Source organism: Homo sapiens, chromosome 12 (assembly GCF_000001405.40).
Source record: "Homo sapiens chromosome 12, GRCh38.p14 Primary Assembly".
Classification (NCBI taxonomy): Eukaryota; Metazoa; Chordata; class Mammalia; order Primates; family Hominidae; genus Homo; species Homo sapiens.
Window position 1 is genome coordinate 17674475 of NC_000012.12, and position 22192 is coordinate 17696666.

Here is a 22192-nt window from a genome sequence, read left to right on the forward strand (position 1 = left end):
TGCATATTTGTTCAAAAAAGTATTGGGCTCCAGGTTACATGTTACCTTTAGGCTCTTGCAGAAACTTTCACCTTTTTTAATTTGTGAGATGAAGGCCATATGAATATTTCAAAAAAGAAGGGACATAAGTCTACTTAGGCTTAAAAATTATAACTGACGTCTGGACTTAAAATCTGCTAATGGGGTTAAAGAGATGAAGCAGAGAGACTAGTTAAGGAGCTTTAAAGATCATCCCATCAAAAGATGAGAGTGGATTGAATCAGGGGATCATTTTGGATATTGAAAGCCAAATTTGATATGTTTTGAAATTAAAGTAAAATAATTTGATAGCTGATCAGATATATGTTATGAGAGAAAGAAAAGTGTCAATAATGAAACTAGAATTTGGTTTTTAGCAACGTCGGTCTCGAAACTAATGTTTATGACTTTAAACTGAGACAGTGAGCCATGTCCAGGTTCAGAGTACCAGCGAATACAACTAAACTTGATGAGAGTTTTGCAAGGAGAGGATAATAAAGTGAAAGAAGGGCACAATTATTGGCAATGTTTGCACAAAATGGTATGTAAGAATGTAGAATTTAGACGGTGTAAGGAGGGTGGTGAGGGTAGGACAATGCACACACATAAGTGCCATAAATAACTATGATAGATATCCCTTTATACTTGGGGGAATGGAATACATGAATGATAAGTCAATCATCTCTTCCACTTGGAGGGCTTTCTTAGACAGGGGCTAGTAATAAGACTGGGGAAATTACAAGAACTCATAAAATCGAGTGTGGAAGCACAGCGTTAAACACCAAGAAAAGAGAAAAGTGGAAAAGCAACTGTACGTATAAGAGTGCTACAACAGACTCCCCAAAAATGAATACTATGAATTATGCTTCCCCAACTGAGATCACAAAATTAACGAAAAGACAAGGGATAGCTGATGCTGGAGGTTGGGTTTACCTAGGGCTGGCTCCATGTTTGTGACCTGTATAGGTACACAGGATCCCACGCTAAGAATGGCCTTGCATTTGGTTCAATCCTCTGCTGCTGCAGTCTTGGGACTTTTAATATTTTGGAACAAGGGTGTTTTGGTAGCGTCCTGCAAAAGGCAGGATAGGTTTAGATGTTGACACACGCGCAGACAGAGTATGAGAAGGTATTACTCTCATTATGAGGGTTTCTGGGGACAGCAGGGTAGACTCCCAAGCAGGTTCAAAATGGCTTGAGTGAATGAGGGGAATATGGCTTTGGTTTCTGTTGTGATTCAGACATGCTGGGAGGAGAGCCTCTGCATAGGAGCTGGATTAGCCTGGTTTGATCATTCTCATCTGGTGACAAAGAAGGGAGTGACAGCTTTCTTATGGGCTTGTCCCACTATGGGGCTTGAAAGCTGTGAGTAATTAAACATAAAAACATGCAGTCAGATGCTTTATTAAAAGGGGTCCCTGGGATTCCTCCTTGCACTGGCCCCACAGATGATGTAGTTGGTCCTGATGTTATGGAAGCAGATTCTGAGACACAGTTTGGGATGCTAGATGTATATTAGGGAGTAACTACTGTGAAGGGAAGAGAGGAATTCAAAATGGAAGGAGGAAAACGTCCAACTGCTATACATTCATTCACCCATTATCAACATTCCCTACATGGGGACATATGGCCACACATGTATATGGCCATGTGCTTGTCAGATACAGAACTGTGCAGATTTTCAAGATGGGGAGCAAATTATTTTCTGAAGAAGGACCTTAGCAGACTCATCTCTACATCTCCCAGAGTTGGGTATATTCAGTGTCTTGAAATTTGTCATAGGTTTTAGATGCAAATTAAAATAGTTTGAGTTTTTAGGGGGTAAATTAATAATAAATAGGTCTGAAATAAAGGCTTCAGAGGCATCCAAATTAATTGGGCACCAGACAGGTCACAGGATTTATTGTCAAAGAAGTGGCATTCAGATTTCTCTCCATCAACTATCAGATATGTGACTTACTAGATATAAAAAGTTTAGTCTCTTTGAATGTGAGTTTTTTAAATAAAGATAATGCTGTTACAAATTGATATTTTTTGAGGAATAACATTTGAAATAACTGTTGAAAAGTTTCATACAAATATTAGTCATTTTTCATATTAAAAGCACTAAACTATAAACGTTGTAACATATAGTTAGGGTGACCAAAAGTCTATGTTTTTTTTTTTTTCCAGTGGAAGAGAGTTTTCTAATTTGAGTTGATTATGTCTTAGTGTGTTTTGCCCTTCCTGTTAGGAACCTTCTCTTTAATAGCAAACTTTTAGTCATGCCAAAAGTAGCATACCCATCAATAATTACTAACTAGTGTATCTGTTTTATTTAACAAATTTAACCAAGTTATCTGATGATCATCAATAGAAAAAAAATAAAGTTTTAAATTGGTCAGTGCATATTTCTTACTCATTTTAGTGTTTTAACAAGGAGTTATGGGTATCTTATATAAGATATGAACATTTTATTTTTCTCAAATTATGTTAAGGAGGATGCTTTAGGTTTAACTGCTTCTTGTTTTTATAATGTCATCTAAGAATTTTACGGAGCTTCTTGAGGTTAAATCCATGTGTATTCAATATTTTCTACAGCTCAGCATTTTTATATTTATGTTAAAAATAAAAACATGAAGAAAGTTTGAATCCTCACTCGGGTCACCAGTGGTAAAATAGGGTCACAATTTAGTTAGTACATATAGCACTCCAGTACCTCAAGTACATAAAGCACAGGCCTTTAGTTCAGGCTAGAAACTCTTCTTTCAGTAAGTAGAAAATGAAATAAACAAACCTCAGTTTTGAATGTTTAAAGTCTGAAGCTTGCTCCAAATTCTTTTATAAATCAGGCTGTGTAATCTCATGATGTTTCTGGAAGTAGAAAAGAAAGATTTATTTCAACAAAATAGTGTATATATTTTTTTCAGTTTCCCATTCTTAAATTGAAGTCTTAGATAGGGCTGGAAGTTTAAAATTAAAATGGTTTCATCACTTCAAATTCTGCAGCTGTTCTTTTTTTTTTTTTTTCCTTAAAAAAAAAAAAACTATTTAATGTCACACAGACAAACCCTGCCCCAATTACACAGGAACAGATTTGAAACAGCTTGGAGTATAATTAGAGATAGAAGGTGTGTATATTTGTATTTATGTGGGATTGGAAATGCTAAATAAAACTGTATATATACAGTTGATGGGGATCTTTAATAAGAAAATGACTACTTTAGAACCTTGTCCTGGACTAGTTTTTCTGTTTACATTTTGGTTATTTCAAAACTCAGGAAAACAAAGGAAACATTTAGCTCAGCAATATTTTGAAGTAAGCTAAGATCTTATTTGAGTATCCAACACCACAGTGCAGATATATTTGAAAATGTCAAGAGAAAAATAACATCAGCAACAAAAATTTACTGTTTTTCTCAATCCCTCCTTCTTTTTGCCCTCTGTTACTACTGTGATAGACATCCTATTTCATCAATACTGAGAAATGTAAAATGTCAATGTCTTAGTCTTCTTTGTGTTGCTATAAGAGAGTGCCATGGACTGGATAATTTACAAAGAAAAGAAACGTATTTTTTACAGTTCTGGATGTTGAGAAGTTCAAGGTTAAGGGACCCACATCTGGTGAGAGCCTTCTTGCTGCGTTATCCTGCAGCAGAAGGCGAAGTGCAAGAGAGTTTGGGACAGCAAGAGAATCAGAGGAGGCCAAACTGGCTTATCAGAATCTACTCTTGAGATAATGACATCACATCGATCTCTTTATGAAGGCAGAGACCTTATGACCTAATCACTTCCTATGATGCTACACCTCCCAACACTTGCACTGGGGATTAAGTTTCCAAAAGATGAATTTTGGGAGACACATTTAAACCATAGCAATCATATAATTAAATTAAAATGGTAAAAATTATACCTTTCTGGAGTGTCTTTCCCATTGAAAATCTTGCACAAATTACTAATTTTACAAATGAAAAAATATTTTTATATTTATATATGACCTTGATAAGGTCTAAAAATGTACACCTTGATGAGAAAGAGACCCAGAAAGAGAGAGAGAGAGAGAGAGATAAAATCATTAAAAATATAGGCAGTGGCTGGGCTCAGTGGCTTATGCCTGCAGTCCCAGAACTTTGGGAAGCTAAAGTGGGTGAATTGCTTGAGTCCAAGTATTGGAGACCAGCCTGGGCAACAAGATAAAACCCTGTCTCTATAGAAAATACAAAAATTAGCCAGGCATGGTGGCATATGCCTGTAGTTCCAGCTACTCAGGAGGCAAAAGTGGAGGATCACTTGAGCCTGGGGAGGTCGAGTCTGCAGTGAGCCATGATCATGCCTCATGCCACTGCACTCTAGTCTCGGCTACAGAGTGAGACCCTATCGGAAAGAAAGAAAGAGACAGAGAGAGAGAGAGAGGAAGGGGAAGGGGAAGTGGAAGCGGAAGGGGAAGGAGGGAAGGAAGGAAAAAGAAAAGAAAAGAGAAGGAGGGAGGGAGGAAGGAAGGAGGGAAGGAAGGAAGGAAGAAAGGAAAGAAAGTTCAAAAGAATTAACTTAAAATTGTATTTCATTCACTTTGATGCTCAAAGAAAAGTTGGCCCTATTATCAGTTATCTCAACTTAAAGCTTACTGTGAAACATACACTCTATCCCTTCATAGCTGTTAAAAAGATTTAAAGTCATAATCACAGCACTTGAAAAGAACAATGCAAGTTCATTTTTGCTAATCTGATATCTTAAAATAGACTATCATAAAAATCACTGCAGAAAGATGAGAATCTATTTTTAAATTCTTCCTGGAATAAAATGGTCTATCTTCCTCAGTTTATCAGTCCTGACCAAGAAGAAAAAGACTCTCTAATACTAAATCAAATTTTTAATTCTGCTATTTAATCACATACTTTTAAGATGTCTCTTAGTGAGAATGGGAACTCAATTCCCTCAAATCCTAGAAGTTTTCTTTCAACTTTCCATTCTCTTTCTCTAAGGCATTTACTCAAAGCATGGTCCTTGGACAAGTTGCATCAAAACTATCTTTGGGAGGCTGAGGCGGGAGGATTATCTGAGGTCAGGAGTTGGACACCAGCCTGACCAATATGGTGAAAACCCGTCTCTACTAAAAATACAAAAATTAGCCGAGCGTGGTGGCAGGCACCTGTAGTCCCAGCTACTTCGGAGGCTGAGATGGGAGAATTGCTTGAATTGCTTGAACACATGAGGTGGAGGTTGCAGTGAGCCGAGATCATGTCACTGCACTTCAGCCTCGGTGACAGAGTGAGACTCCATCTCAAAAAAAAAAAAAATGCAGATACCTGTAGATCAGTATATCTAGAGGAGATGACAGAAAAACTATGATTTTATTTTATTTTCAAGTAGCTAATTAAGAGTTTTTAATGTTGAAAACTACTTTGTTCTTCTTATTTATGAATTTGACCTAATCTTTCATAATGATAACTATAATTTTAGCTTGAATTCTCATCAGAAAATTTACCTCTATAAACAATGCTTCATACTCTCATCGAACCCACGCAGACTAATTTCATCATGATTGTTTAAAATTGTCATTCACCATATGGATCTATAGTCATTTAACAAGTCCAACACATATCTATTGAGAGATTTTACCTACTGTTATAAAAAGAAATTAAACAGTAAAACAAAGAAATAAAAAATAATAAGATTTCTCATGGGCCTATTTAATAATAAGGGGGAGTACAGACAATAAATTAAACAATAGCCAAACTATATGTGAAGGTAATAGGAATAAAGGATAGTAGGAGTCTGGGAAAAGGTTGCAATGTAAAATAGAACAGTTAGGGAGCAAACATCTTTTTTTGAATTTTTGAATAAAAATTTGAAAGAGATGGGAAAAGAGCATCTGCAAGAGAAAGAACAGCCATTACAAAGGCCCTCGGTGGGAAGTCGGCCTGATGTGCTTGAGAAATAAAAACAGTGGAGAGAGTGGAAGGAGCAAAGCCATAGAGAAATAGGGGATGCAGTTAGAGAGGTAGTGAGAGGCCAGATTGTGTGGGGCCTTGAAGGAGATGCAGAGCAACTGGAAGGTGTTAAGCAAAAGAATGACCTGGTTTCAAGGCTCATAGCTTTAAAAGCAACCTCTCCTCTATCAGTGCCCAAATTTATAAATTCAACTGTATCTATTTTCCCAATCTTCAAATTTTTATCCAGAGGTTCATTGACGTCTCCAGTTGGATGCTTATTATGCTTCTAAAGGTTAAAGTGTCCAAAACTGAACTTCTCCTGCCCATCTTCTTCCTCCTCAAATTTTCTTCTCCTCATCTTTCCTTCTCAGTTAGAGACAACTCTATTCTATTTGCTCAAGCCACTCATTCTTTTTGTTGACACCTCTTACACATGACAACATTCACCAGATACTCCAGCAGATCCTGTTGGCTCTACCTTAACATTATAGACCAAAATCAATAACGGAAACATTTTTCAACACTTATGCTACTGCCACTCACACACACACAAAATGAACTGGTTTCACTAAGTTTGAATGACTTTGTGTCACTGTTCTGCAGTGAACAGATTTTAGAAGGAGCAAGGATGAAAGCAGGAAGACAGATAAAGTTATTGCAATAATACTTGGGAAAAAGGATGGTGGCTATGACCAGGGTGGTAAGTAGTCATATTCTGGATATATTTTAAAGGTGGATTCAATAGTAGTTTTTGACTAGTTTCATGTGATATATGAGGAAGAAGAGTTATTATTTCTTCAAGGCATTTTGGCCTTAATAACTGGAACCAGTCTTTGCATTGAGACAAGAAACACTATAGATGGAGCAAGTTTGTGAATATAGATCAAATTTCAACATGCAAAGTTTGGGAATTCTATGACACATTCAATGGAAATATCAAGTAGTCAGGTAGACATAGGGGTCTTCAATTCAATGGAGGTGTTCAAGTTACACCACATGGGTGGCATTTAAATATTTCAGGCTGGGTGAAGTTAAGAAAGAAAATTAACCTAAGGAAATGCTCTGAAAAATTATAATTGAAGAGTTTGGTGCTAAAGCAGGGGGTGGAAACTCTGATCTCCTAGTTCAAATGCTGTTCATAGAATAAGTTAAGATATGGACTGAGAATTCACAATTGGATTTATGAATGTGGAAGAAGAATCAGTGACTTTGATGTAAGTAGCTTCAATAAATTGAGAAATAAAAGTGATAACCTTATAAGAGAGAATGTAAGAAGAAATGGGGAAAAAAAAACCTGTCTTTCAAACATATCCACTTGCCTTGCTCAATTTTGCCCTTTTCATGTCATTTAATTAACAGCCTATGCATTTGCAAATTTTTCTTCTATTCATGTAGGTCACTTTTACTTGAAATGTTAAATATAAATATACACTTTACATGCTTATTTATTGAAGCAATTAACAGTCCATATTATTAGCAACATTGTTGCTATTGGGGACTTTGATAAACTCTGTCAAATTTTTCCTAACAAGAAAGGATTTTTTTTTTATAAATTGTACTCAGGTAGTCTGATGCACTCTTATTTGCAAATAACATTTTTGAAAAATCAGCATGACATGTCAGCAGACTAGGATAACTTATATGTTACTTTGTTTCATTTAATGCTTTTTAATTTTATAATCCTTACAATAACCAAATGCAACATGTACAAAACTAAGCACATTTTCTGCCACAAACTGCCTTCCCCTGATGGATCTTATACTACTAATGGAAGTATTGTAACACCTCAAAATGTACAAGTGTCTAGAAACTTTTTAAGTTGGATAAAACAATCCAAGTGTCTTTTGGGATCCTAAAAAATACATATGGATATCAACATATAACAATAACGTGTTTAAAATAATGTCTTTGTGTCATCAATGCAATATGTCAATTCCATTAAAAATGTAGTAATTGATCATCTTTAAAATTATTCTATTCTAAGTAATTAAAATGCATTTTAAAGAGCAAAATTATAAACTCTTAGGTATCTAGAATTCTCAGTTCTAAGAATAAAACACTTCCAAGCATTATCTTGCCTGAGCCTACAGATTAAATTTGCTAGTAACTTAAATAATAAAATTCTATTCAAATATTCAGAGACATGTCCACATTTATTATTTCAACTGTTTAATTTTCCTCTGGGTACATGTATTAATTAATTAATGTGCTGCCCTTCTTATGTGATGATTTGCTTAGAAAGGTAAAATTATTAATAAAAAATATTTCCCTTGCTTTAGCATATTTAGGGCAAAGACCAAATGCTTGAGATATTTAAACTTACCTGTTTATGGCAAGCCTAAAAGAGCAGAAAATGTGACCCAGATGCACTGTGTAAGGTAAAACTTGAGAAACTTGACGTAATACTTGGGCAAGAAAGAAACGCACGCATACACACACATAATTTTTAAAAGTCCTGTTCCTTTTAACAATGAGATAACTAAAGAGAAAAATATAATAAAATATGAACAACAGCAATAATAATTAGTTGAGTAAAATCAGGGTTTCCAAATGAATATAAATGTCACAAACCATCTAAGGAAAGAAAACGTGCTGGCTTAATCTAAAACACCGTTACTGGTGTTCAAAAGAATCGCATCCCTCATTGAAAAAAAAAAAAAAAAACTACATTAGTAAAAGTTTGGGGGCCAGGGGATATGCTTTAGTAATCTGTAATGAGTTATTGATTCTATAGACCATCATCATGAATTGAAATAATTCTCATTTGAAAAACTCTAGAACCTGTGGTTTGGGGTAAGCTATATCTTCTATTGTTCATCATCTTAACACTGTAGGATCATTCTTTACAGAGATACAAACACGGTTGATTTACCTATTAGGCATTGTAGGTACTGTAGATCATCAAAGAAAATGTTATGATGTAACATTAATATATTATTATTGCAACTGTATGGTAAAATATAATTTCGAATATGCTTTTAATAGAAGAAGGGGCATACAAAGTCAAAAGTGGGTGGTCTCACAGAAGTGCTAATGCAGCCCTAGACGGTGAATCAAATGACATAAACCAACCCCTATATTTATTTTATTTTCAGAAGATGGTGAAAGTGTCTCCCTCCTTTGCTAGAAGTAAAGTTAAGCCCCTTTGCCTTGAATTCCCAAGGAAACCAAAAGGTGAAAGTAGATTTTGTGATCATATTACTGAATTCCTCTCATTTGGAAAGTTTTCACATGAGTTTTTGAAAGGCTAGTAGGCTAATAGCCACAGGGACTTTACCTTGAAAATTGTAGCTACAGAGAAAGAAATTTATTCTCTCCATGCCAGAGAGTAAACAATGTGAAATATGGAAAGATCACATGTTTTGGACTCATATGAGATGATGTCTCAGCTGTAGTGCTTTTAGGTGTAAACATTTTGGTGAATTTCACAATGTCTCTCAGCCACCTTTCCTCTGTATGTAAGAAAAATGGGTGCTATGATGTGTAACTAACAGAATTGTTGTGCTATTTAATTGGCAACCCCCACATTCAAACAGGATTTTTCTTCAATGTCTCCACAGCAGAAAATGCTACCATTATTACACCAGTGTGCACTGAACAAAAATCATTGGCTTGTCCCCTGAGCGCTGTCTCATATTCCATAGGTCTTTCATCTCCCACCAGTTCTACTTATCAAGACCACCAGTGTTTCTCTTCTGAGCTCTTTTATTAGCTTTCAAATAGCTTCTTGTTTGCCGACTTCCAGTTTCTTCATCCAGTAATCTGTATGCCACATAAGATCCTGTGTTGTCTTTTTAAAATGGAAATAAAATCGTAATATCACCAAATCTTCTGATCAACAGAGAACACAATATCTCTGTGATAACATGGCCTTCATGATACTACATGATATGGCCATTTTCTAATCTCTTTAAATTCCCTTCCTGCATGTCTAGCTACCATGGTTTTTTTTTAAACTTTTATTTAAATTATAATTTTATGCTAGAATGGTTTTAGATTTACAGAAACATCGTGAAAATACAGCAGACAGTTTTCATATATTCCACACTCAGTCCCCTACATTACTGACATTTTACCTTTCTATGGAATATTTGTCCCAATTAATAAACCAATATTGAAACATTGCTATAAAATAAAGTTTATAATTTATTAAGATGTCTTTAATTTTTACAGATTGTTCCCTTTTCTCCTCCAGAATATTATCCAGGATACATTACATTTAATTGTTACTTCCCCTTAAGCACCTTCTGCTGTGAGTTTCTCAGATTTAACTTGTTTTAATGACTTTGATGGTTTTGAGGATTATCGGTCAGGTACCTTGTAGAATGTCCCTCAACTGGTATTTATATGATTCTTTTCTCATGACTAGACTGGATTTATAGATTTTAAGAGAAAAACCACAGCGGTAATATATCATTCTCATCATATCACCTCACATCACATCAGGGGTACATTATAGCAACACAATCTACCATTGTTGATGTTACCCTTAATCATCTTTATAAGGTCAAATTTTTCTGTTTTCTCCACTGTGACATATTACACTCCCTCTCCTTGTTTTTAATGTATTCTTCAGTAGTAATAATGTGCAGCCTACACTTAAAGACAGGGAATTTATGCTCAATCTCTGTGAGAGTGGATTATCAACATAAAGTTTTTGCAATTCATCTTGATGGGTTGTCTGTTCTCCATTTATTTATCCATTTATTTATTTGTATCAGTATAGATTCATAGATATTTTATATTTTGTGTGATAATTCAATGGCATTGCATTTGTTGCTCATATGGTTCCATCTTTGGCTATTGGGGATTCTTTAAGTTGAGTCTTGTGTCCTTTTGACATATTCCCATTGGTGTTTGTTTGTTGTCTTTTTATAGCACGTACTTCCTTGCTTTCTGGCACTATAAGACATTCTAGGCTCATCTTGTATATTACTTGCTCCTATCCTAGAACCTTGCCACTTCTCTAAAGAGCCCTTTTTGGCCAGGCGCCATGGCTCACACCTGTAATCCCAGCTACACGGGAGGCTGAGGCAGGAGAATTGCTTGAACCTGGGAGGTGGAGGTTGCAGTGAGCCGAGGTGGCAACATTGCACTCCAGCCTGGGGGACAAGAGCAGGACTTCATCCAAAAAAAAAAAAAAAAAAAAAAGCCCTTCTTATTTTTATTGGAGAATGGTATTAGAATCTCAAACCTGGGAACTAGATGTACTCATTGCTGCCATGGTGTCGTTGCTACTATGCTTCTCCATTGACAGAAGAGTGTAATATATGTGTGTATATTAACCCATGTTTACATTTTCATAAATATAAGTAAATGTGTTCTGCTTATTTACATACACTCATTAAGATAAATATGACTTTATATTGATGTCTCCAACTCTAGTCAACAGGTTCTTGTCAGTAACCTACCACTATAACAGTGATAAGCTGGGTTCCATTATTTACCATTTATTACATTGTGTTATATGTGTTTATGTATGTTTTAGAATTGTTATACTATACTCCTGTGGGAAGCAACTTTATCAGCTAGAGTAAAGTGCTTATGTCCAGTTTATTTTGCCTTTAGTTTTAGACTCCACTCATTTCCAAGGTTACTTTCACCCAACTCTTTTCACTGATGGTGTTTCATGCACTTGTTAGATTAGATTCTTTTATCACAGCCTGCATTCTATCCTGGTATCCCTGAACTTCTAAGTGAGTTTTTAAAATCTGCATACAGTAAGGCTCACATTTTGTTCTGTGAAGGTGTAGGTTTTGACAAGTACATTGTGTTATGTCTGTACCATTACAGTCACATACAAATAGTTTCAATGACATAAAAATTTTCTGTACTTCACCTATTTAACTCTCTCCAAATTTCTGGCAACCATTAATCTGTTTACTTTCTCTATATTTTTGCCTTTGCCAAAATTTCATCCTTGTTTTTGCTTTGCTTGATAGTCCATTTTGTATTATTGCTAAATAGTATTCCAGTGTATGTATATTCCACAGTTTACCTATTCATTTATTTATCAATTTACCTATTGAAAGACATCTTGGTCACTTCCAGTGTGAGTCCATTATGAATAATGGTGCTATAAACATTAATATGTAGATCTGGAATACACATAAGTTTTCAACTCAGTTGAGTAAATACCTAGGAGTATGAGTACTGGATCATAAGATAAGACATGGTTTAATATTATAAGATGCTACCAAATTGTCTTCAAAACAGCTGTACCATTTTTCATTCCCAGCAGCAATAAAATTCCCACCAGAAATGAAAGTTCCAGTTGTTCCACATCTTGTCAGCCTTTTGCTTTGTCAGTTTTAGATTTTAGCCATTCTATTAGATGTGCCGTAACATCTAATTTTGTATTTTAATTTACACCTTTTCCCAATGACAAATGATTTTGATCATCTTGTCTAATGCTTATTTGCCATCTGCTTATCTTGTATGATGAGGCAGATGTTTAGATCTTTTGGCCATTTTTAACTGTGCTTTTGTTTTCTTAATGTTGGATTTTGAAACTACTTTATATATTTTGGAAATAAGTACTTTACCAGATTTGTGTTTTACAGAGATTTTTCTCCCAGTCTGGGGCTGGTCTTTTAATTCTTTTCACAACACCTTTAATACAACAAAAAATTTTAATTTTAAAATTCAATTTGCAAATATTTTTATTCATGAAACATGCTTTTTATATTGTATCAAAAACTTCGCAGCAAACCCACCGTCTCCTAAATGCTCTCCTATGTTTTCTTCTAGAAATTTTATAATTTTGCATTTTATATATGTGTCTATGACCTGTTGTTTTTAAATTTGTGTAAGATGTAAGGTCTCTATCTAGGTTCTGAGTTTTTTTTCTTATTGTTGCATATTGACATCCAATTTTTCCAGCACTATCTTTTGAAAAGACTAGCTATTCTCCATGTAATTGCCTTAGTAGCTTTATTAAAAGTTAGTTCATTATATTTGTGTGAGTTTATGCTCTCAATTCTATTTCATTAATCTATGTATTTATTCTTTTGCTAGTACACAATCTCTTATTTACCATAGTTTTATGATAAATATTAAAAATAGGTAATGTGAGTTCTCTGTTATTCATCTTCAGTATTGTGTTGGCTACCCCAGGTTCTTTGCCTTTCCATATACATTTTTAAATTAGTGTTTTGATATCTTAAAAATATCTTGCTGGGGTTTTTATTGGGAGTGCATTACGTTCATAGATCCAGATGGAGGGAATTGACATCTTAATGGAATATCTCTCCAATTATTTAGATCTTCTTGGATTTTCTTATATTGTTTTGTACTTTCAACACACTGTTTCTATCCACATTTTGTCAGATTTACACCCCCATGTACTTATTTTGTGGGACTGGGGTGGGGGAAGGTTGTTACTATAAATGGTGGGTTTTTTTGAAATTTCAAATTCAAGTTGTTCATTGATGTTACATAGGAAAGGAATTTAGTATATTGCTCTTGCATTATTTATTGACCTCGCTTTATAATTTCTTATCTTTTCCAGAAGCTTAATTATTTATTTCATATTCTTTCAGCTTTTAAATAAATATAGTGTTATAAATTCTCTTTAAGTCTGCTTTTGCTGTATCCCTAATGTTTTGAGAAATGGTCTTTTCATTTTAATTCAATTCACAAATATTTATCAAAATTTCTTTTCAGGTTTCTTTGTCCTGTGAATTATTTGGCAGTATATTGCTTAATTTCTAAATATTTGGAGATTGTTCTGCTTTTTTTAGTTAATTGAATTATAGTTTAATTCTGTTGTGTTTTCAAAATATATTTTGTATGATATTTTTAAAAATTTGTAAAAGTGTGCTTTATGCCCCAGAATGGGATCTATCTTAATTAATGTTCCATGTGAACCTGAGAAGATTGTGTTTTGGGCTCTCGTTAAATGTGATATTCTATAAATGTTAATTAGGTCAAGGTGATTGATAAGGCTGTTAAGGTCATCTGTATTCTTACTGATTTCTGCCTGTCTGATCTATCAGTTACTGACAGAGAGGTGTTAAGTCCCCAACAATGATAATGTATTTGATTATTTATTCTTTCAGTTCTATCAGTGTTGCCTCTTTTGCTTCGGTGCAGTGATGATTAATTTTAGGTGTCAATTTGACTGAATTAAGGGTTACCTTGAGAGCTCATGTCATAAAACATTATTTCTGAGTATGTCTGGGTGTTTGTAGAAGAGATTTTTTTTGAATCAATAGACTGAACAATGAAGATCTGCCCTCACGCAATGTGAGTGAACACCATGAAGCCGCTGAGCACATAGAATGAAAAGGCAAAGGAAGAGCAAATTTACTCTTTTTTTCTGGACCTGGAATACCCTTCTTTTCCTGTCCTTGGACATCAGAACTCCAGGTTCTCCTGCCTTTGGACTCTAGGACTTGCACTAGTGAAGCTCCAGGTTCTCAGGCCTTTGGCCTCAAACTGAGAGTTACTACAATCCGCTTCCCTCCTTCTGGAATCTTTGGACTTGGATGAGCCACACGCTGCTGGCTTTTCTGTTTGTCCAGCTTACAGATGGCCTGTCATGGGACTTCTCAGCCTCCATAATCCTATGAACAAATCCTCATAGTAAATCCCCTCCTGTCTGCCTGTCTGCCTATCTGTCTGCCTGCCTGCCTATCTATCTATCTGTCTGTCTGTCTGTCTATCTATCTATCTAATCTGTCTGTCTGTCTGTCTATCTATCTATCTATCTATCTATCTATCTATCTATCTATCTATCATCTATCTATTGTATTGGTTCTATTCTATTTCTCTGAAGAACCCTCCAGTAGGTGTATACACATTTAGGTTGTGATGTCTTGGAAAATTAGTCTCTTAATGATTAAGTAATGACCCTCTTTGTCCCCAGTAATCTTTCTTATTCTAAAGTCAGCTTTGTCTGAAATCAATGTGGCCAAACTTGCTTTCTTTTGATTAGAATTAACATGGTATATATTTCTCCTTTCTTTTTCTTTTAACTTATGTGTGGTTACATTTAAAGCAGGTTTTTTCTTTTGTTTTGTTCTATTTTTTGAGATGGAATCTCGCTGTTGTCAGCCCGGGCTGGAGTGCAATGGCATGATCTCGGCTCACTGCAACCTCCACCTCCCAAGTTCCAGCAATTCTCCTGTCTCAGCCTCCCAAGTAGCTGAGATTACAGGCACCCGCCACCACACCTGTCTAATTTTTGTATTTTTGGTAGAGATGGGGTTTCACCATGTTGGTCAGGTTGGTCTTGAACTCCTGACCTCAGGTGATCCACCCACCTCTGCCTTCCATAATGCTGAGATTACAGGCGTGAGCCTCTGTGCCCGGCCTAAAGTAGGTTTTTACACACAGTGTATAGTTGGGTCTTCTTTTATCCAATCTCACAATATCTTTCCTTCCTTGCTGTTTTTAGACCATTCACATTAGTAATAGTTATTGATATATTTAAACTTATATGTGACATGTTCTTAACTGTTTTCTATGATGTTTGTTCTTTTGTCCTTGTTTTCTACTCATTTTCTGTCTTTTGTGGTTTTAATTGAACATTGTATATAATTTCATTTCATCTGTTCTATTAACATGGCATTTATACATCCTTACAAAATTATTTTATAATTTATAATGTATATGCATTTTATAATATATAAATATATGTTTTATATTATGTATACAATTTGCTAATCTTAGTCCACTTTCAAATAACACTATATCACTTCACATGTAGTCATGTAGTGTAAGCATCTCAGAGTATTCTCCATTCTTCCATCATTTATGACACTGCTGTCATTCATTTCACATAACTTATTCTATAACCACCCAATACTTTACTATTATTACTTCAAAATGCTATTATTTAGATTAGTCAATGATAAGAAAAGTATATATAAATATATGATTTACCTCCACATAAGTCCTCTTAAAAGCTGTTTCTTTATGCAGAGTCATGTCTCTATCCTATGTCATTTTCCTTCAGCCTGCAGAACTTTTTTAAAAATTTCTCTGCAAGGCACATCAGCTGACGGCAAATTCTCTTAGTTTTTGTTTGCCTAAGTATTTATTTCTCCTACATTTTGCACAATAGTTTTTCTGGGTATAGAATTCTAAATTAATAATTTAAAAAAATTTTTAAAATATTTTGCTCCATTCTATTTTTGATTGCGTGCTTTATAATAAAGAGACCATTACAGTTGTTATCTTTGTTCTTCGATAGTTAAAGTGGTTTTATTCCCATTCTGTCTTCCATCAACATTTCCTCTTTGTGTTTTGCATTCTACAGTATGAATATGATATGCCTAAGCATGTCGGTATTTTGTTTGCTTTGGGTATTTTGGTACTTACCTTGAGTGGTGTTCTTTGAGCTTCCTGGATCTTTGGTTTACTGGGGATGATTAATTTTGAATAAACTTAGCCATTATTACTTCAAATATTCATTCTGCCCTGTTGTCTTTTTCTTTGTCTTCTGGTATTCCAATAACATATAGTTATACCTTTTGATGTTTTTCTACAGTTCTTGTATGTTCTGTTCTGATATTTCATCCTTTTAACTCTCATTTAAGATTAGAAAGTGTCTATTTACTTATTTTTCAGTTCAATGATTCTTTTCCCCTTCTTTTCTCAGTTGTGTTAAGCCTACTGATGAACATACAAAAAACATTCATTTCTGTTACTGTATTTTTGATTAGTATATATTTTTGATTCTTAAAATTTTATGTCTCTGCTTGCATTATGCAATGCAATGGTTTATTTTTGTATTATCACTCTTAACATATAGTTATTTTAAATTTCCTACCTGATAATTTCAACATATGTATCACATTTGAGTCTTCTTGTGATGATGACACTGTCTTAAAAGTGTTTTTTCTTGCCTTTTGGCATGCTTTGTAACTTTTTGTAGAAAGCCAAATGTTGTAATGAGTAAAAGGAACTGAGGTAAAAAAAGGCCTTTGGTGTGAGAATTTGTATTAATCTGGCTAAGGAGAGGGCTATCTTTAATGATTGTTGTAACTATAGGTACAGTTTCCAATTCCTCTACTACCCTTGTGTTTTTCTCAATGCTTGATATTTAGCCTTTTGGATCCATCAGGAAGTGTAGCTTTTCTAAATGTAATGTGTTGCTATTATACTGGAGCCCTGTTGATGGTGGTAGGGTGCAGGGTGAGGGAACATTCTATAGTCAAATGATAGAATCTCAGCCTTTTGATAGGTCTGTGTCTCTGGCTTGAGATGGTCACAGCTCTTTCTCCAGCGGCATGGCCTTCTCCTTTCCCCAGCAACGCCCCACTTTCCACCCATTCTCTCCTTTCCTCTTTTGCTGCAGAGTTTGCAATGTATTCATGGGAATTTCAGAATCTTGTTGACTATGTTATTTTCCCCCCTTAGAAGAGACAAGAATTGAACAACGGGAACACTAGGACACAGGAAGGGGAACATCACACACCGGGGCCTGTCGTGTGGTAGGGGGAGGAGGGAGGGATAGCATTAGGAGATATACCTAATGTAAATGATGAGTTAATGGGTGCTGCACACCAACATGGCACATGCATACATATGTAACAAACCTGCACGTTGTGCACATGTACCCTAGAACTTAAAGTATAATTAAAAAAAAAAAAAAGAAGAGACAAGAAAGCTGAAGAGGGCTTGAGTGGGAGGGAATTTCTTTTGCTAGAAAAAGGCTTGAGAATTGAACTTTGGCAAAGTACATTTCTCTGGAGGGTAGCCCTTTTTTTTTTTCTTTTTAAATGGAGAAGGGGGTCTGGGAGAGTTTGTCAGTAGTTACTTTCTTGTCCCCCTGTCAGAGCCAAGTGGGGTCCCTGAAAGGAAAACCCATGTAAGTAAGGGGTCTGTCTAAGATTGCATCCCCAAGGAGCTTCTCATTTTCATGCTAATCCACAGCCTCCAGCAATTCCTCCCAGTCTAAAGTGCCATATTAGTTCATTGAAGTGCCCTCATTAATTTATCATTCAGTGGCTTTTCCTCCAAGTTAGTAGATATCAATTATTACATTTCTGTAGATGCATCTGTCTCTCCAGATTTCAGGGTGTTATTTTGCCCTGCAATTTCATTTTTCTGGTAGGTCAAATAAAAGTTATTGGGTTTGAGTTCATGCAGCTTTTTCTTATTATAAGAGAATGTAAACTTCTAAGTTCTTCACATGTTGGAGTTAAATAAATATACATAGAAAAATTAATATAGCAATAACAGGTAATACTTGGATTATATTTGGCAACTCTGAAAGGGCACATTTAATCGTAAAATAATATATCGATTAAATCTAGTATTTAATAATTGAGCAAATCTTATTTTTATCTTCCAATTAAAAATAATGATAAGTACTTATTTCACAATATTGCTGTAAGACCTAAATGACACAATAGCTATAAAACGTCTCATGCAATATCTGGCAAACAGAGTCAGTTATTTCCCTTTGCCTCCTATATCTCGTAAGAAGTGGAGCTGGACTGATTTTACAATATAAAGCTTAGAAATTTCTGTGGATTAATATGCTTCCAATGTTAGTAATGTCTGTCCTGAGTATTCCAACAAAAATCAGTTGGTATTTATCATTATTATTATTATTTTAATTATAACGTTACTGTTAGGTGCTTTGTAGTATAAGTAGAAATATGATAACATCAAACACAAAGGAAATTATATCTGTGAAGGCACAAGAGATCACTCTGTCATGAGCAATCACAGGATGTTTATATTTTGTATTTATAAAAATTTTCAATATGTTGAACGTGAATAATTTACTTAAATAGTTTGTATAAATATAATTTCTTATCCAATTGAAATCTAATTACTTGAATAGTATACTGGTAGATTTAAAACATCAAGACATCCTTGAATTAGCAAATCTTATGTTCTTTTTTAATTTATGCTGCAACCTAACTTTGATATAAAGTCATAGATTCCAAAGAGATAATTTTGCAGGACTAGTCCAATTAAGTCAGAAATTTGGCAACCTGGAAAAAGACAATAAACTCATGATTTGATGCCAAGTTATGTAATAAATGTAGTTTGGGGAGTATGGGAAGTGTTTTCTCCTCATTGTCCCCCTAACCTTTGCCTACCCCCAACCCCAATAAAAACTTATTTTAACCCTGACCAGCTACAGTTTTGCTTAGTGTGCTTAGCAGCTCATGCCTGTAATCCCAGCACTTTGGGAGGCCAAAGCAGGAGGATGATTTGGACCTAGGAGTTTCAGACTATCTTGGACAACACAGGGAGACCCTGTCTTTAAAAACATTTTAAAAAAATTAGCCAGGCATGGTGACATGTGTCTGTAGTCCCAGATACTCAGGAGGTTGAGGTGGGAGGATCATTTGAGCCTAGGATGTCAAGGCTGCAGTGAGCAGTGATTGTGCTACTGCACTCCAGCCTGGGCAACAAAGCAAGACCCATTCTCAAAAAATGCAAATATTAAATAATAAAATTTCCTCATAAAAACATTAAAAGTAATTAGAAGAAATCAGAAAATATTGAATGTAAAAAGTGGAAAGTACCCTTATAAAATGAGTATGTATATACATGTATTTTTATTTATTTATTTGTCTATATATATATATACATGATGCATACATATATATAGACATACCTATGCATGTATATTTCCTGATATATTCACGTACACATGTGTACATTAATATACTAATATACATGTACATATATTTTATTTATGTCTTTAATATATACTATGAAATACATATAATAAAAAGGTAAGCATATTGCTTTTCACACTGTTCACTTCACTGACAAATATATGGATCTTTTTCTATGACTATGACTAAATGCCCTGAATCATTATTTCTAAGGGCTGAATAATATTTCACTAAGTGTACATACTTAACATTTTTAATATGTAGTCTCCTATGGTTGGGTATTTAGTTTTTACACTATTGTTTCCTACTAAAATGAACTCTTTGGTGGATATTTTAGTAATTGCATATTCTATAGCTGTAGAAATATTCCCTTAGGATAAACCTTTAATAGAATTCCTAGACTTCATGCTATCTTCATTTATAATGCTTAAAAATCATACCAATGTTACTCAAAGGTGGAGATTGTTCAACTTTAATTAGGATCTTCATTTTATGCAAACATATTTACTGAAATTTTTGAACTTTAAAATGTTTCAATTTGAATGTCATTGAACATAATTTGAACATAAATGCTAATTTTGTAAAAAGTAGTAAACTGTAGAATCTTGATATACATATACTTGATATACATATACTTTTATATATAAATTTCTGAAATCTTAAATTACATTTATAATATATTTTACCTTATATTAAGTATAAATAGCAATATCCTATAGGACTTCTCAAATACTCATTGCATATACAACAACAGTGGCACTTTAGGTTGTGGCTGCTGAGTAGTCAGCTAGGTTCACCCTCCAGCTCTGGGATTTTTCATCTCACAGTTTGAACAGTAAAGCATTTCTGTCCTGGGTATAAATAAAATTACAGATTGCTAATTCTCATGGATATTTGGGGTTACTCTAAAATCCATAAATATTAAGTCTAGGAATGCTACAATCCACAGAATTTGCAAATATTTTCTCCTTATGTAACTTATTATCAAAATAGAAAAATATATTATCTGGTCAAACTATCATTTAAATACCTTTAAAATGACTATTTTCATTTTTGAAGATTTTTGTGTAGAGATAAATATGGGGATTTTCAAATTACTAAACAAAAATGTTTGAGATGTAGACTCGAAGAATACTGCAATATCCAAAATTATAGAGTACTAAAAACATTTAATTATAATAAAAACTTTCCTGACTTCATAGACTTTTAATAAGAAACATCATGTTTTCTAATTTAATGCTGTTGTAAAAACCTCACCATCCTGAATCATAAAAAGAGAACTACATTTCATAAAGGTTACATTTGTTTTCACTTCTGGAAAAGAATTAAATCAATAAGTTATATTTGGAAGAACAAAACTTGGATCATATATTCCACTGGGTGAAGAAAAAGAAGATACCACAAGGTAAAACTAGATGTTAACAGACTAATGATCATTTTTTAATAACAGAAGGACCTTTCTGTGAAAAAATACCAACATATATTTTTTTCATTGCTGTCTTCTCTTCCAGCTAACCTTTGAATGAGAGAAACTTCTGCTGATGTCAAATGACCACAAGGATATTAACAACTGGACTTGGAGCCTGTCGGCCGCTGTTGGATACACCTCCTTTACCAAGGCGGCTTTCTTCACTACTGCCACTGACCTTGCAAACAGCTCCGACAAAGGTCGGAATGGATTCATTGATCAGCTAGACCGAGCATATGACAGTCTGTGCCTTAATTGAATCCCAAAAGGGGGCAGACTGGGTTTTTATTACAGAGGCCAGCCGATAGCACTCATTAAAAGCTCCACAGACTGTGTGGTTTACTAATTAGTTTATTATACAGACACCTTGACGATGGGCAAAGTTGTCATTTTGCCCTTTATCGCACAGGGGATGTTGTTAAAAGTTTAATCAGCTAACACTGACCAAGTTAGCTTGGCAGGCTGTGGATGGTCATTACTGAGGTCACCCCTGCTGTAGCAATTCTGACAGGGTCACAGCATGAACTTACAATAAAGAGAGTGTTACATAAGGTAAGAGCGCACCTGAAAGGGACCCCAGAAAAGAGTTGTGCTCTGCGGGGAGTATGAAACAGATGGGCTGTTAGGACAAGTGAATCCTTTTCAAGTTTACCTTCGCCTGCACTGTTTAACATATGCTTTCTTAAAAAGATGAGGCATACGACAGTCGTTTTGATATGTTCATCAGAAATAAGATTGGGAACACGTTTTTCATTTTGGCCAAATATAGGGTCACCTGATAAAAATGACTCTCCTGTGTTTTATTTAAACCTTACGTAGTTCCAGAGAAGCAGAGGAGATTATGTTGGCCTGTTTAAACTTGCTCTAGATAGAGCAAAGAAACAGTTACAGGCTATTCTTATTATTATTATTTCTACTCAGAAAATGATTTTGAGCACTAGCCAAACCAATAAAAAATTATCTAGTTTACCAACGTTGTCCCATTTATTCCGGGGATTCTTTTTTCCTAATGGGCTACTTTTTAGAATATATAGTATCTAAGAAAGATTTTCTTCGTGTGTCTAAGGTTATGCAGTGAGTGAAGTACAGGTAATTTCACTTTATGTATTTGAAAAAGAATCAGTAGATGAATGTAATATTATAGTTAAAATTTTTTGAGAAATTCAAAATATAATCTATACATAAATAAAATATTCATCTCT

General features: G+C 34.5%; 1 long non-coding RNA gene across 1 annotated transcript in view, besides 1 other annotated feature; it reads left to right on the top strand.

The window, feature by feature from the left end:
* The window catches only part of LOC124902889 (uncharacterized), a 38516-nt gene extending 17195 nt beyond the window's left edge, over positions 1–21321 (top strand). The window contains exon 2 of the long non-coding RNA XR_007063232.1: positions 21034–21321. This is a non-coding gene — a long non-coding RNA (uncharacterized LOC124902889). The remainder of the gene's footprint in view (positions 1–21033) is intronic.
* Positions 20703–21939: an enhancer, noted in NCBI's record as "VISTA enhancer hs980". NCBI's record gives its function as "enhancer in: hindbrain (rhombencephalon)[4/5] | midbrain (mesencephalon)[4/5]" and the evidence as "EXISTENCE:transgenic organism evidence [ECO:0001131][PMID:17130149]".